Below are 16,499 nucleotides of genomic sequence, written 5' to 3'. Positions count from 1 at the left end.
TTGCTCAAAGCCAAATATCTGAAATTTAAAACTCTAGAAAGACACGCGTGATTTTTTTTTAAATGAGATAACAAACTCCTGTCTATATACTTACAGTATGTACAGAATCTTTAATTTTTTTTCTAGCTTTTGTCATTCATACACACTTTTCAAACTTATTTTTAATACATCACATATATTAATTTGATTGTTGTCGTTGTGCAGTGGCACGATCACAGCTTACTGCAGACTTGAACTCCTAGGCTCCAGCAGTCCTCTGGCCCCAGCCTCCTGAGTAGCTGAGACTACCTACATGTGCCACCATTCCCAGCTAATTAAAAAAATTTTTTTGGCCGGGCATGGTGGCTCACGCCTATAATCCCAGCACTTTGGGAGGCTGAGGCAGGTGGGTCAGTTGAGGTCAGGAGTTTGAGACCAGCTGGCCAACATGGTGAAACCCCGTCTCTTTTAAAAATACAAAAATTAGCCGGGCATGGTGGTGCACACCTGTAGTCCCAGCTACATGGGAGGCTGAGGCAGGAGAATCTCTTGAACCCGGGAGGTGGAGGTTGCAGTGAGCCAAGATCGTGCCATTGCTCTCCAGCCTGGGCAACAGAGCAAGACTCCGTCTCAAAATAATAATAATAATAAATTAAATTAAATAAAAACTTTTTTTTGCAAGGACAGAGTCTTGCTCTGTTGCCCAGACTTGTCTTAAACTCCTGGCCTCAAGCAGTCTTCCAGCCTCAGCCTCCCAAAGTGCTGAGATTACAGGGGTGAGCCACCATGCCTGGCCTTTACAGTTATTAATTTTAAGACTAAGTAGCTGTTACCTAATTAGGAATGAAGAGAGACGTGCTCCAAATTATGGCACAGCACAAGCAAAGTTCAAGAAGCCTCCTCAGTACATGGGAAATCTGCCCTCTCATCTGAACCCCCTACTTGGACCATATAGCCCTGTTTTTTCCTATTGTGTTGGTGTATTAATAAGGCCCTCTTTCACTCTCGAAGGGGACCCACTTTAGAAAATAAGTTATATCACTCTACTTACAGCTTATCTGCAAGAATAGTCACCTGGCGTTTAACACATTGTTTTCCTGTATTGCTAATCATTTCTGCTTACATCCATGTCTTAGGTTTCCGATGAGATTATAACTTATTTGAAAACATCTCATTTATTAATTAGATCATTTACCAAGAATTCTTTAAAACAACCTGGGATCATTGGCCCATATGCAGAAGCAAGTTAGATCAAATACCTCTTAAAGTCAGAAAACATTGAAACAGTCTATTCAATAACTATCTGAATAGTGGTGGCAGCCCTAAATAGAACACATTTATCCATCTATCCTTCCATTCATTCATCCATCCATTCATCCATCCATCCATCACATATCCATCCATCCATCCATCTCATATCCATTCATCCATCCATCCATCATACATTCATTCATCCATCCATCTATCCATCACATATCCATTCATCCATCCATCCATCTATCTCATATCCAGCCATCCATCCATCCATCCATCCATCCATCCATCTATCCATCCATCCATCCATCCATCCAACAAAACCCTATCGAAAACTACTTTTGTGCCAGGCTCTGGGCTAGGTGCTGTGAGTACAAAAACCAGCTCTTGCCTCCCAGGCCTATTGCTTAGTCCTTCACAATGAAATGTTTATTGACTTACTTTAAAAAACAGACTTTTTCCCCCCAGTTTTTGAGAAGGTCATTTGTTTGGGAAAATGGAGTAGAAAAAAATTACCTGTTGGAATAAACACTATTCTAGAAATACACAGACTGTGACTTTGGCTCAGGCTCCAAGGCGATCTAACAGTGTGTCTACAGGGGAGTCACTTCCATCCTCTGTGTGAAACGAAGGAGCTTGGTGATTGCTAAGATCCCTTCCAGTCTCACTGTTCTATTATAGGAGGTAAGATGTTTACTTCTCTGCTGTTAAAGACTTCTAGGAAGAGCAGAATTTTAGGAAAGCTTTGAATAGCAGAAGGAATAATTTCATAGAAGCCTTTAGAGATGAATAATTATAAGCTAAGATACTTCTTGGCTTTTTGCACATTTTCCCTTTTTACCTCTCCTTCTTCCATCTTTAGTTTTACAGTTTGCCAAGATTTCTTTTCTTTATATTTTTTTTTACTAAAATTTGTTTGTGTGTGTGTGTGTGTGTGTGTGTCTTTGCCATCAGTCTCTCCATCCAACCATGTATGTCTTCCTATCCTGGTCCCCATACCTCCCACGCTCCTACCCCTACCCCCGTGTCCATTCATCCTCTTGGCTTCCCGAACTTCCCTGGAATCTCCCAATGCCATCATACTCCTGTTTTGCTCCTATTCCAAGTCTTGCTATCAGTTTCTGTTTTTCTTCCCTCAGAATTCTCTTTCTCAAGCTCCACCAGTTAGACATTTGCCATATAGCCTGTGTTATTAGTATGTATCCTTTATGTTTTTTTCCAGGTGAAAAATGATGTTTTTCACCTGGAAAAAAATGCTGTGTTTCCCAGGCTGGTGTTAAACTCCTGGCCTCAAGCAGTCTTCCAGCTTTGGCCTCCCCAACTGCATGAGCCACTGTGCTCAGCCTTGATATTTATTAATTTTAAGAAGACTAAGTAGCTGTTACCTAATTAGGGATGAAGAGAGATGTACTTGAAATCACGGGCACAGCACATGCAAAGGTCAAGAAGCAAGAGGTCAACATAGCAAAAGGAATCTTATATTCCCTGGAAAACCTCCCAGTGTGACTTGGTGTGTCGAGAAGCTCCCTGACATGCTCTGTGAATGACATATATCTCTGCAGACTCATTCACCCAATAGATATTTATTAAACACCTGCTATCTACAGCAGCATTGTGTTAAGGCACAGGGACAGGCAGTACAAAGATGGAGAAGGTACGACATTTCTCTCCTTGGAACTTACAATGTAGAAGGAAAGACTGACTTGAAAACAAAAGAATTGCAGTGCAGTATGATAAATGACATACTGCCATGGGAACATGGTGAAGAAGTCCCTAATGATTCCTGTGGGAAAGCTTCCCTGGGGTATTGGCATTTAACTTCACAGTTGTTTCTTCTTTGCCACTCACTGCCAGGTGTTTCTGACTCAAGGGCCTTGCACTGGTGAGAAACAGTTCTAGTTCCCTTTTGTCTGTGTCCTGTGCTAAAACAGCCACAATCGCAGTTGTCCATTACAAAGATGAATAAATGCACTAAGTGCTGGTACAGGCTCTCTAAGGTAAAAAGGATCAGGACCTGGGAAGCAATTTATATCTGTGCACGAAAAGCAAAGGAAATATTCAACTTTTGGAAAACGCACAGTTGGGGAAATGAGATTTCTAGTGGCAGGAGTGGGACATGAGGGCCAGGTCACCTCAGTAATAACCACCTATCACAAATACATAAATAAATAAAAGAAAGGAAATGCTCTGAGCTCTTCTATGGATTCAAATCCTATTGATTCTCTTTGATTAAAATTCAGAAATGTTTTGGGTAATAATGCATTAATGCCCATGATTTTTTTTTTTTTTTTTGAGATGAAGTCATGCTGTGTCGCCCAGGCTGGAGTGCAGTGGCACAATCTCTGCTCACTGCAACCTCTGCCTCCCAGGTGCAAGCAATTCTCCTGCCTCAATCTCATGAGTAGCTGGGATTACAGGTGCCCGCCACCACTCTTGGCTAATTTTTGGATTTTCAATAGAGACAGGGTTTCACCATGTTGGCCAGGCTGGTCTTGAACTCTTGACCTCATGATCGGCCCGCCTCGACCTCCCAAAGTGCTGGGATTACAGGCGTGAGCCACTGTGCCTGACCAATGCCTATGAATTTTTAACATTAAATCATTCACCAGAGTAGCTAGGAAAGACCCTGAGAGAAAGGGACACAGAACTAATTTAGGATGGGGATTGGGGTAACGCAGCATGGAGCAGGACCCCCAAGAGTAGATGGGGTGAGGGGCCGGCACAGCGAGAAGACCTGGCCAGTGTGTGCTATGTGGGGTGCAGGGCAGGAGGCCAACAGTCCTCTTCTGGGAAAATCTCATCCTTCCCCTGGCTCCCATTAGTCTATGCCAGCGACCCCACAGCTTCTTCTCCAGGCCAGATCTGTCCTGTGAACTCTGGACTCCTGTGAGCTCTATTTGATTTGAACCTGTTTCCAAACCTGCTTCTCTCTTCCCTGTGTTTTTGGACCCACTCATCAGCCTAATTGTCCGAGCTGGGTACCTGGACATTGGGCCTGACCCCGCCTCCTCTCTCAGCCACCAGGCTTAAGCACGCATCAAGCTCTGGTCTCTCCACCTCCTCAGCAGCATTCCGGTCTCTTCATTACTATCCATTCCTGTTGTTGTGCCCTAGGTCTGGGTCTCACCATTTCATCACTGCATTACCTTGATAGACTCATTGATTTCCTTCATTGAAGTCATCTTTCAAACCATTCTCTACCCTGCAGCTAGACTAAACTTTTTTTTTTTTTTTTTTTGAGAGAGTCTGCTCTGTCACCCAGGCTGAAGTGCAATGGGGCAATCTTGGTTCATTGCAACCTCCGCCTCCCGGGTTCAAGTGATTCTCCTGTCTCAGCCACCTGAGTAGCTGGGATTACAGGTGTGTGCCACCACGCCTGGCTCGTTTTTGTACTTTCAGTAGAGATGGGGTTTCACCATGTTGGTCAGGCCGGTCTAGAACTCCTGACCTCGCGATCCACCTGCCTCAGCCTCCCAAAGTGCTGGGATTACAGGGGTGAGCCACCGCGCCCAGCCAGCTAGAATGAACCTTCTAAAGCATGCATTGGATGTCCCGTTTGTATCTAACATTTATCTCGCTAGGATGAAGTCCATGCTGGTGAGTGTAGCATGCCAGGCATCTTCAGGCTGATTCCTGTCACACCCCTACCCATGGCTCCCACATTCTGGTTATCATCAACACTTCCCTGAACACATGCTTTCTCCTGCTCTGGGCTTGTGCACTGTTGCCTCCACTACTGGGATTGCCTTCCAGTCTGCCCACACTTGGCAAGCTTCTATTTATCCTCCCAGGCCTCAGCTTGGGCCTCATCAAAAGGATTTCTACCCTCACTTCCCCATGAGACCAGCTGCCTCTCGTTGCAGACACAACACCTGAGCTTAACTGACAGCACTGGACGCCCTGTTCTGCAAGTGCAGAGCTGGGCTTTGACCCTGGTGACACTTCTACTCCTCAGTGTTTTACCTGACCAGAGTGGACACTCAGTGTTATTTAACTTTTTTTTTTTAATTTTTATTTTTAATAGAGATGGGGTTTCACTATGTTGGCCAGGCTGGTCTCGAATTCCTGACCTCAAGTGATCTTTTCTGCCCACCTCAGCCTCCCAAAGTGCTGAGATTACAGGCGTGAGCTACCGAGCCCGGCCAACACTAAGTGTTTGATGAAAGAAAGGAGGGAGGGAAAGAGGGGGTTTTCTGAGAGAGGAATAAAAGGTCTTCAAATCATACTTGGTCTATTTTCTCATTTTCCTAAATGCCAACCTCTTTCTTTCCCCCTTTTTGTTCATAGAGTCCATGACATGTGGCTTAATAATACAAATTAGTAAAGTATGGCTGGGGTAGGCCAGGCGAGGTGGCTCAGGCCTGTCATGCCAGCACTTTGGGAGGCTGAGCCTGGAGGATCACTTGAAGCCAGTAATTCAAGACCAGCCTGAGCCACATAGTGAGACCTCGTCTACAATAAATAAAATTAGTCGGGTATAGTGGCACCTGCCTGTAGTACTAGCTACTCGGGAGGCTGAGGCAGGAGGATTGCTTGAGCCTAGGAGTTTGAGACTGAGGCTGCAGTGAGCTATAATCATGCCACTGCACTCCAACCTGGGCAACAGAGCCAGGGGCCTGTCTCTAAAAAGAAAAGAAATGTATGTCTGAGATATCTTTCCTCATAAACCAGACTGATTACATAGGTGATGAATGATTGGCTAGTGCTGAATAGTTGACACAGTTGAGAGTCATTTCTTTGAAGAAAAAAAAAAGCTCAAATCTACTTTACAAACAATTTACCATAGAGGTTAAGAGATTAGCGTTGCTCTCTGAGAGACCTGAGTTCAAGTCTTGGCTCTGCTATTTGCTATGACTTTGGAAAAATTAACCTCTTTAAGCCGTAGTTTCCTTATCTGTAAAATGAAGATCATAGTAGTATCTACCTCATAAGGTTTTTAGAGATTAGTAAAGGTATGTAAAGAATTTAGTACACTGCCTGGCACACAGTGACAAGAAATGTTGGTTCTTAAAGTAATCAGTGGTAGTAGGACTCTGGACTTTTCCTTGATTTCAACATGCACTCTCTTTCTCTTTGTCTCATAATTTGGCAATTTTTTTTTTTGAGACAGGGTCTTGCTCTGTTGTCCAGGCTGAAGTGCAGTGGGTTCAATCATAGCTCACTGCAGCCTTGAACTCCTGGGCTCAAGCAATCCTCCTGCCTCAGCCTCCTGAGTAGCTGGGACTACAGGCATGCAGCACCACACGTCTGGCTATTTTTAAAATTTTTTGTAGGGACAGGGTTTTACTAAGCTGACTAGGCTGGCCTTAAATTCCTGGCCTCAAGCAGTCCTCCCACCTCAGCCTCCCAGAGTGCTGGGATTGCAGTGTGAGACTTCGCGCCTGAGCTATTTAGCAATTTTATAGTCAGATTCTGGACTGGTGGGCCCCACTGATGGCTTCCCTCGACACTCTCCTTCCCAACTCCCATCTGACCTTCGTCCTGCTCAGTAGTGATTCAGCTCCCCACCCCTCCTTCACCAGCCTCTGCAGACTTCTGGGTCAGGAATTAGTCGACATTATCATAAAATCTTTGGATCCCTCCTTATGAGAAACTACATCTTAAATCCTGTTCCAACTTGAGAAAAGTCTCACAAGCTACATAGGAAAAGGAGCTGTTATCACACTCACCTGTAGGTATTTTATCTAAGTCATATACTCTCAGGTACAAGTTATTACTAGGAACTGTTATAATTAATAAGCAAATTGTGTTTCTTATCATACTACACATCTGACAAGCCACATCTGTGGGGTTACCACCTTGTATTATGTTTAAACATATTATTTTGCATTTTCCTGTTTTATGCAACTAAACCTTATCCTAATCAATATAAAATTCAACACCCATGAGTTGGATGATATATATAATAAAATCCAATTGTGTCATTGGCTTAGTGGAGAAGATCAGACATGGAGCAGTGGTGAGCAGATATCATCAGTTGGAAAATTAGTGACCCTTGTTATGCTGTAGCAAAACATTTGCTCAAAATTGCCATTTCCTGAATAATATAAAGCAAGCAACATGCAAACTGAAGATGTGGCTGGGGGAAGGGGTAAGAAGTGTAAAATTTTGGTTTGTATTGATTGCATCTTGCAGCTTTTAGCTAAGAGCTGTGATAAAGATATAAACTCATCTGGAGCTATCCTGCCTGCCAACAGAGATGGAAGGAAACATAGCTTTGTAAAGATTAGACTCTGCCTGTAATCTAAACTCAGCTATGAGTCCTGTAACTGGGAGTCTTGTAGGATGAAAAATACAGCTTCCAGTGAGTGCAAGCCCATCCAGCCTTGGCAGGAGATAAGGCTGTGGCCCCAGGCACTTTCCGAGCATCTTCCTAGGTTCCTTGCCAGACAATGGAAACAAGCCCAGACACAAAGATTAGATTAAGCGTGTTCCCATCTCACCCAACTTCTTTCTTCTTTCAAATGGTCTCAAGGCAGCCAGGCCAATTGGAGAGGGAAAGGATGGCCAGAGCATAAAGAGCTCTAAATAAAAGATCAGAGCCTTGGGGCGTGAGAAGTGTTTCTGGACGCAGTGTTAGGCTGTAGTAACCCACACTTGGAATTGACTGGAAGCAAAGAGATTGGATGGAAGCTTCCTATGTTTGGACAGAAACCTCAAGCTTGGCCTGCAAAAACTGTGATTAGACAACTCTGAAAAGAATTCCTGGGAACCTGCACCTGCACAAGCAAGAAGTTGGCGGTGGAAACCATGCAGCTTCAAGATGATCCTATCTCCAATGCCCAGGGCTCAGATATAGCCATAGAGGAAAACTGACAAGGAAAAACCCCTGAGAGGGCAAAGCCAGAGGCCATGGGGGCAATGGACAAGAGAGATCCTTCAAGGCAGCAGCTCAATCAAGGAATGACCTTCTCTGCCCCCAAAGGGAGTCTTTGCCATTCCTATCCAGCAGGATTTGATCATTGCTATGGACCAATACCTGCAATATTTCTCTCTTCCTTTTTCTTTTCTTTTCCAGCAGGATTTGATCATTGCTACGGGCCAATACCTGCAATATTTCTCTCTTCCTTTTTCTTTTCTTTTCCAGCAGGATTTGATCATGGCTGTGGACCAATACCTGCAATATTTCTCTCTTCCTTTTTCTTTTCTTTTCCAGCAGGATTTGATCATTGCTATGGACCAATACCTGCAATATTTCTCTCTTCCTTTTTCTTTTCTTTTTTTTTTTTTTTTTGAGACAGGATCTTTGTCACCCAGGCTGGAGTGCAGTGGTGCAATCTTGGCTCACTGCAACCTCTGCCTCCTGGGCTTAAATGACCCTCCCACCATCAGTTTCCCAAGTAGCTGGGACTACAGGCACACACCACCACACCTGGCTAATTAAAAAAAATTTTATTTTTTATTTTTTGTAGAGATGAGGCTTCACTATGTTGCCCAAGCTGGTCTTGAATTCCTGGGCTCCAGTGATCTGAGTAATCCCAAAATGTTGGGGTTAGAGGCATGAGCCACCACACCCAGCCTTTCCCTGCTTTTCTAATGTGAGTTTTTCTGTGTGTCTGCTTATTTTGCTCCTATGCCAGCAATTATATTGCATGTAAATGTAGATAACATTTTTTGGTTTGCAAATTACCAGACCATGAGGAGGCACATGCAGACATGATCGAGCACATCACCTAGAGATTCTGGACTTTGAGTGAGATGCACTAACTGGATGGGAAATGCCTAGGTCTACACAGGGGCAGAAGAGTATTCATGAGTATATCTGCCAGAGGACCAGTCTACAGCATCAACTACTAGCTGCCTTCCAAAACCCACTCTTTGCTTCTCCTTTAGCAAAGAAATCCTGATTTTCACCCAGGCACATTGCTGCCCAGCTAGAAATCTGTATTTCCCTGCTTCCTTGACCATTAAGTATGGTCAGGTAATTAAATTCTGGCCAGTGAGATAAAAGTAGTTGGGTTGCAAGGAGCTGCCTGGAAGTGTTCTTAAAAGAGTAGAACCATGCCCTTCCCTTCTCCTTCCTGCTGATTTGAACTTAGAAACAGGGATGTTCTGGGGGAGCTTCAGCAAGCATCTGGAACTATGAGGATGAGGGGCACAGAGAATGCAATGGAGCATGATGATGTCATGGAGCTACCAAAGCAGCTCTGGACTGCTTATCTCTAGGTTTCTTTTAACTGAGAGAAAAATGAAATTTAATCTTATATATGCCTTTGTCTTTTGCAGTTTTATGCTATGAAGCTGAATGTAACCATGACTGGTAGCCTCTTCATGCATGATTTGGCCAATTGAACTTTAAGACTATGGAGAAGGTGATTTAATGGTGTAGATTTGACATCTGGTCCATGGATCAGTTGAACTATTTCCTGGGAGGTTGAAAAGAAATACCTGTGTTGTGCTTCCTTTGGCTTTGGAAATAGCCAGGGTTAGACTGAATTAGAATGCAAGCCTGATTAATTTTCATGACTGAAAAAAATTCCATAATATTTTGCCCAATTAAAATGATTATAGAGGCTAGGTGTGTTGGCTCACACCTGTAATCCCAGCACTTTGGGAGGCTGAGGCAGGTGGCCCACTTGAAGTCAGGAGTTCGAGACCAGCCTGGCCAACATGGTGAAACCCCATCTCTACTAAAAATACAAAAATTAGCCAGGCACGGTGGCACATGCCTGTAATCCCAGCTACTCCAGAGGCTGAGGCAGGAGAATCGTTTAAACCCAGGAGGCGGAGGTTGCAGTGAGCAGAGATCACACCACTGCACTCCAGCCTAGGTGACAGAGCAAGACTCCATCTCAAAAAAAAAAAAAAAGATTTTAGAGTATATGCCCTTTCCAACAGATGCCATTCTGCCTGCTGTGGATACAGAGAAGAGAAACTAGAGGCCATGGTTTTGGCAGAAGCAGCTCTATCACCCACACTCTCCGGTCTAGTCAGTGTCCAGTATTAGAAAGAAAGATTAGAAAGAAGATGTGGCTTCACTTGTCTGATAATTTATAAAAAGGACTCATCAGAAAAGTAGTCAAATTTAGTATATTAGATTCAATGCAACGGTTATTTATGTTAATTTCTATGAGCTTACATTGGGTTTCTCAACCTCGGCACTATTGACATTTGGACCAGATGGTTCTTTGTGGTGGGGGCTGTCCTGAGAATCTCAGGATGTTCAGCAGTTCCCTGGCCTCGACACTCTCCATTCTAGTAGCAACGCCCTCTGCCCCAGCTGTGACGACTAAAATGCCTCCAGACATTGCCAAGTGTCCCCTGGCAGTGAAAATTGTCCCCAGGTTGAGAAGCACCGGCTTGACATGAGGCTCAAGGCTCACACTGTGTTGTTCTGTGATACACAGAGCCTGCTGTTAGCACACGTGGGATGAGGAGAAGCCACCAGTTGGTGTAGTTGGGAAACAGGAAGCAAGTACATTTTAGCACCTGTTCTTGATAGATAACTTCAAGGATAGCTATAATTTAGCAAGTATCTAATAAAAGTCAGACACTCTCCTTCGTAATTTCACATGTACTGCTTTTTTTGGGAAAATTTTTTTAAAGTATAGGAAAGTACAATAACACTTCTCCTCTTTCCTTCCCCATTTCCTTTCCATCAGAAATTTAGTGTGTATCAATTACTTTTTTTTTTCTTTTTGTTTTGAGACAGAGTTTCACTCTTGTTGCCCAGGCTGGAGTGCAATGGCATGATCTTGGCTCACCACAACCTCTGCCTCCTGGGTTCTAGCGATTCTCCTGTCTCAGCCTCCCGAGTAGCTGGGAATACAGGCATGCGCCACCATGCCCAGCTAATTTTGTATTTTTTAGTAGAGACGGGGTTTCTCCACGTTGATCAGGCTGTTCTCGAACTCCTGACCTCAGGTGATCTGCCTGCCTCACCTCCCAAAGTTCTGGGATTACAGGTGTGAGCCACCACGCCCGGCCTCAATCACCTTTTTATGCTTTTACTAGGTAGAAATACATCTGTAAATATTTAATGTTGCTTTGGTATTTAAGAATATTTAAATAAGTGGTATTATACTGTATAAAACTATCCGTGGCATTTTTTTTTTACTCAACTTTTTTTTTTTTTTTTGAGTCAGAGTTTTACTCTTGTCACCCAGGCTGGAGTGCAAATGGCGAGATCTCGGCTCACTGCAACCTCTGCCTCCCAGATTCAAGTGATTCTTCTGCCTCAGCCTCCTGAGTAGCTGGGATTACAGGTGCCTGCCACCATGCCCAGCTAATTTTTTGCATTTTTAGTAGAAACAGGGTTTTGCCATGTTAGCCAGGCTGGTCTTGAACTCCTGACCTCAGGTCATTCACCCACCTCAGCCTCCCAAAGTGCTAGGATTACAGGAGTGAGCCACTGTGCCTGGCCTCAACATTGTTTTTATTTTATTTTATTTTATTTTATTTTATTTTTATTATTTAATTATTTATTTATTTATGTTTGAGACAGAGTTTTGCTCTTGTTGCCCAGGCTGGAGTGCAATGGCGTGATCTTGGCTCACTGCAACCTCCGCCTCCCAGGTTGAAGCGATTCTCCAGCCTCAGCCTCCCAAGTAGCTGGGATTACAGGCATGTGCCACCACGCCCGGCTAATTTTGTGTTTTTAGTAGAGATGGGGTTTCTCCATGTTGGTCAGGCTGGGCTTGAACTCCCAACCTCAGGTGATCTGCCTGCCTCGGCCTCCCAAAGTGCTGGGATTACAGGCGTGAGCCGCTGCGCCCGGCCACATTGTTTTTAATAATTCCTTGATGTCGCTACGTATAAATCTGGTTCCTTTGTTTATACTGCACATATTGTTCCATTGTAGTTTATTTATCCATTCTTCTACACACAGACGTTTGAGCTAGTTCCAACTAATCTCTACTATAGAGCAACACTGCAGTAAACATCTTTATTTGTCTCTTTGCACACATGTACAAGTGTTTCTTCAGAAGCAGAATTGGGTCAGAGGTTGTACTCATTTTTCACTTTGCTGGATAATGCCAACTTTTTCTCCAAAGTGATTGAATAAATTTGCATTCCCACTAATAGTGCATGAGAATCTTTGGTTTCCCACGATCCTCTCTAACACTTGGTTTTGTCAAAATTTTAAAGTTTTTCTAATCATATGGGAAAGTGAAATGATTTGTGGGAGTGAAATGTGGATTTATTTGCATTTACATGTTTGTGGTAAAGTTGTACAACTTTTCCTGCATTTGTTTTATTTTTACTTATTACTACTTTTCTGAGACAGAGTCTCACTTGGTCACCCACGCTGAGGTGCAATGGTGTATAATCTTGGCTCACTGCAACCTCTGCCTCCCAGGTTCAAATGATTCTTGTGCCTCAGCCTCCCTAGTAGTTGGGATTACAGGTGTGCACCACCATGCCTGGCTCATTTATTGTACTTTTAGTAGAGATGGGGTTTCACCATGTTGGCCAGGCTGGTCTCCAACTCCTGGCCTCAAGTGATCCATTTGCCTTGGCCTCCCAAAGTGCTGGGAGCCATAGAGCCCAGCCTGTATTTTTTGACTATAGCAGTTTCTTCTGTGAATTACTGCATGTATCATTTACTCATTTTTTTCTATTGTATTTTCTTTAAAGTTTATTTAAAATAATTTTAGCATGTTTTGTATATTAATGCTTTGTTTTTCGTGTTGCAAACACTTTCTTTTAGGCTTTTGACTTTTTACATTTTTTCTAAGATGTCTGTTATTGTGTTGAAGTTTTTAACTTTCATGTAATTCAATTTACGTTTTTAAACATTTGTCCGTTTTGGGTCTTATTTAAGAAACCATTTCCAGCTGGTGCGATGGCTCACACCTGTAATCCCAGCACTCTGGGAGGCCAAAGTGGGTGGATCATGAGGTCAAGAGATCGAGACCATCCTGGCCAACATGGTGAAACCCTGTCTCTACTAAAAATACAAAAATTAGCCAGGCGTGGTGGTGCATGCCTGTAGTCCCCCCTACTTGGGAGGCTGAGGCTATTTTTTTTTTTTTTTGAGACGGAGTTTTGCAACATGATCACGGCTCACTGCAACCTCCACCTCCCAGTTTCAAGGGATTCTCCTGCCTCAGCCTCCTGAGTAGCTGGGATTACAGGCATGTGCCACCATGCTGATTTTGTATTTTTAGTAGACACGGGGTTTCACCATGTTGGCCAGGCTGGTCTCAAACTCCTGACCTCAGGTGATTCACCCGCCTCAGCCTCCCAAAGTGCTGGGATTACAGGCGTGAGCCACTGCGCCTGGCCCCTTTTAATTTTTGTTGCAAATATTTCTTAAGTTTGTTATTTTTGGTCTGTGACGTGTTTTGCATCTTTTTTTGTGTGTGTAGTGAAATCTATCAATTTCCCCCATCGTTCCTTCTATTACTTTTATACTTAGAAAGCTTCTACTGTCTCAAATCAGTTAAAGTCACATATGGTTTCCTTTAGGAAAACTTTTAAAGTTGTCTTTACAACTTGTTTTTCATCATATAAAAAGATGTTTATTATTATTTTTAAAGACAGTACAAAGGAGTTTAACATGAAAAGACATTCCCTTCTTTTCCTCTCAATTTCCATCTCTACTCCCCAGAGGTAATCACTGTTAGCAGTTTCTCGGGTATCAATTCCAGAATATTTTGTGAATATCAAGCATAAACAGGAGTCACAGTAACAGACTATTTAGGGAACTCGTTCTGTCATCTCAGAGTTGCTTGTCCCATCAGTGTATTCTGTTTACCACTATATCGATAAACAAAGCACTTGAAACATGATAGATGTAATTTGTTGAATTAAGTGAATTAGCAGATGAGAAATTTCTGAGACTGTCTTTTGCAAAGAGAGGATTCATGTTTACTCCTTTTCAATGTTTCATGTGCACTTACTCTTAATGTCTATGCTCCTCCTGCTAAGTCTATGGGTTATGAGGGAAAAAAAAAGCTAAGTTGCTAATAAAGTGCGTAGCAGAAAAAAAAAAAAGCTGAGTAGCATTGGCTTTCATGTCTCTCCACTCCTAGGGAAGTTGCCAGGTGATTCTGCAAACCTCACCAAGAGGCCACCAAACCAGCCCTGCAGCCATGTCCCCTGCACCCTCCTGACCTATATAAGCAGAGGCCAGGAAGGCTGTGGGAGGATTCCCTGGAGCAGGCAGTAGTCAGTCTAGTGCAAGGGTTCTTTGTCTGTCCTTGGCAGGTTGCAAACATCAATGGGAAAAATATTCCATCCTTATTTTCACTATCCTCTAGCTGAAATGTTGCATTTCCCCCAATTATGAATGTACGCAACAAACTATAGTAGTACCAGCAACAACTGTAACTTAGTCTCTAGTAGAAAGCACACGTGTTTTCATATAACATACAGCTATTGCAGATATAGCAAAATACCTTTATACTCATCACTAGTTAGAAATCACTGTTAGACCTTGTTATACTATGTTTTAATAAAGCATCATCTAAGTGAAAGAAGCCAGACACAGAAGGACAAGCACTACATCATTTCACTTGAGAAATATAAAATAGTCAAACACATAGAAGCAAAGAGCAGAATGATGGTTGACAGGGGCTGGGGGAGTGGGAAACAGGAGGGCTTGGTCAAAGGGTACAACATTTCCCTTATACAAGTTCTAAAGAGCTACTGGAGAGCATGCTGTCTATAGTTAACAGAACTTGCATACTTGAGCATTTACCAAGAGGGTAGATCTTAACTGTTAGGTGCTCTCATCCCACCCCCCCCCATCACGTGCACACATGCACATAAATACAGAGGGCGGGGGAACCTTTTGGAGATGATGGATATGTTTATAACATAAATTGTGGTGATAGTTTCATGGGGGTGCACGTATACATTAAATATGTACAACTATTTTTTTTTTTGAGATGGAGTTTCGCTCTTGTTGCCCGTGCTAGAGTGCAGTGGAGCGATCTCAGCTCGCCGCAACCTCCACCTCCTGGGTTCAAGTGATTCTCCCACCTCAGCCTCCTGAGTAGTTGGGATTACAGGTGTGCACCACCAAGCTTGGCTAATTTTTTTGTATTTTTAGTAGAGATGGGGTTTCACCATGTTGGCCAGGCTGGTCTCGAACTCCTTTCCTCAAGCGATCCACCCACCTAGGCCTCCCAAAGGGCTAGGATTACAGCCATGAGCCACTGAGCCTGGCCTGAATAGGTACAGCTTTTTGTATGTCAATTATATCCTAATAAAGTGATTTTTTTTAAAAAGAAGCATTATTACTAGAGTACACATTTTCAAATGATTGTGATAACTGCATTTCAATGTAATTGATAACCTTTGTAGTCCTGTATATTTTATTTTATAAACTTAAAAACGTCCTTTTTTTTTTCTTTTTTTTGAGACAGAGTTTCGCTGTTGTTACCCAGGCTAGAGTGCAACGATGTAATGAATCTCAGCTCACCGCAACCTCCATCTCCCGGGTTCAAGCGATTCTCCTGCCTCAGCCTCCTAAGTAGCTGGGATTACAGGCATGCGCCACCACGCCCAGCAAATTTTGTATTTTTAGTAGAGACGGGGTTTCTCCATGTTGGTCAGGCTGGTCTTGAACTCCCGACCTCAGCTGATCCGCCTGCCTCGGCCTCCCAAAGTGCTGGGATTACAGGCATGAGCCACTGTGCCCGGCCAAAAACATCATTCTAAGGAGTCCACAGCTTCACCAGACCACCAAAGGGACCCAAGCACAGGACAGATGTAAAGGGAGAGTGTGGTGTGGGGCGATTCCCCTATGGGCTCTTCCTTGCCAGATGGACTCCAAGCTTGCCACTGGGAGAAACCAAGACCTACCTGTAAAGCGGGAGGCTGCTGTGCCCCGCTTTGCTCACTGCTCACGGAGATGCTGGGGTCTGAAGGCCCATCTGGTGCTGACACTAGCACAGAATAATGAGAAAGTTTCTGAGAGAGGTGGACCCATCCTCTTCCCCATCCCCATCTTCCCTCCATCCCCATCCCCCAACTTCCCATCCCTGTGCCCTCCCCTTCCTGAATTAGGAGTCTAACTGAACATAGAAACTGGTCTCTCCTTTTCATCTAGAGAATTCTGAATGCAAAAGTCTTGCTGCAGCAGCCCGTCCCAGCGGGATGAAGAGAAAGCAGACAGAGAGAGCAGCTACACTCTCCCCATCTGGAATGTGGAGTGGAAGGATGTGCTGTGGGCCAAGTGAATGCAGCAGACAGTGACTCAGGCCATCTGGCTGGTGACCCGCCCAAGGTGGCTGGCTGTCTGGTGGGGAGCCCCCTGCATCATGTGCCCCAGGCTGTGATGGGGAGAGCTGGCAGGAGCCTAGGAGTGGGACTCT

General features: G+C 43.8%; 1 protein-coding gene across 1 annotated transcript in view, besides 1 other annotated feature; it reads right to left on the bottom strand.

Annotated features, from left to right (window-relative positions):
* CDYL (chromodomain Y like) overlaps positions 1-16,499 on the bottom strand; it is a 249,407-nt gene that overhangs the window by 204,713 nt on the left and 28,195 nt on the right. Inside the window, exon 3 of the mRNA NM_001368125.1 lies at positions 15,988-16,070. Coding sequence (NP_001355054.1) covers positions 15,988-16,070 — 83 coding nt within the window. The remainder of the gene's footprint in view (positions 1-15,987; positions 16,071-16,499) is intronic.
* Positions 15,657-15,855: a silencer, noted in NCBI's record as "fragment chr6:4735211-4735409 (GRCh37/hg19 assembly coordinates)". NCBI's record gives its function as "represses an EF-1alpha promoter that drives an FKBP-Casp9 reporter gene in an ReSE screen in K562 erythroleukemia cells {active_cell/tissue: K562}" and the evidence as "EXISTENCE:reporter gene assay evidence [ECO:0000049][PMID:32094911]".

The sequence above is a fragment of the Homo sapiens genome, chromosome 6 (assembly GCF_000001405.40).
Source record: "Homo sapiens chromosome 6, GRCh38.p14 Primary Assembly".
Taxonomy (NCBI): Eukaryota; Metazoa; Chordata; class Mammalia; order Primates; family Hominidae; genus Homo; species Homo sapiens.
The sequence above is the reverse complement of the archived record's forward strand: the minus strand, read 5'-3'. Positions and strand labels throughout refer to the sequence as shown.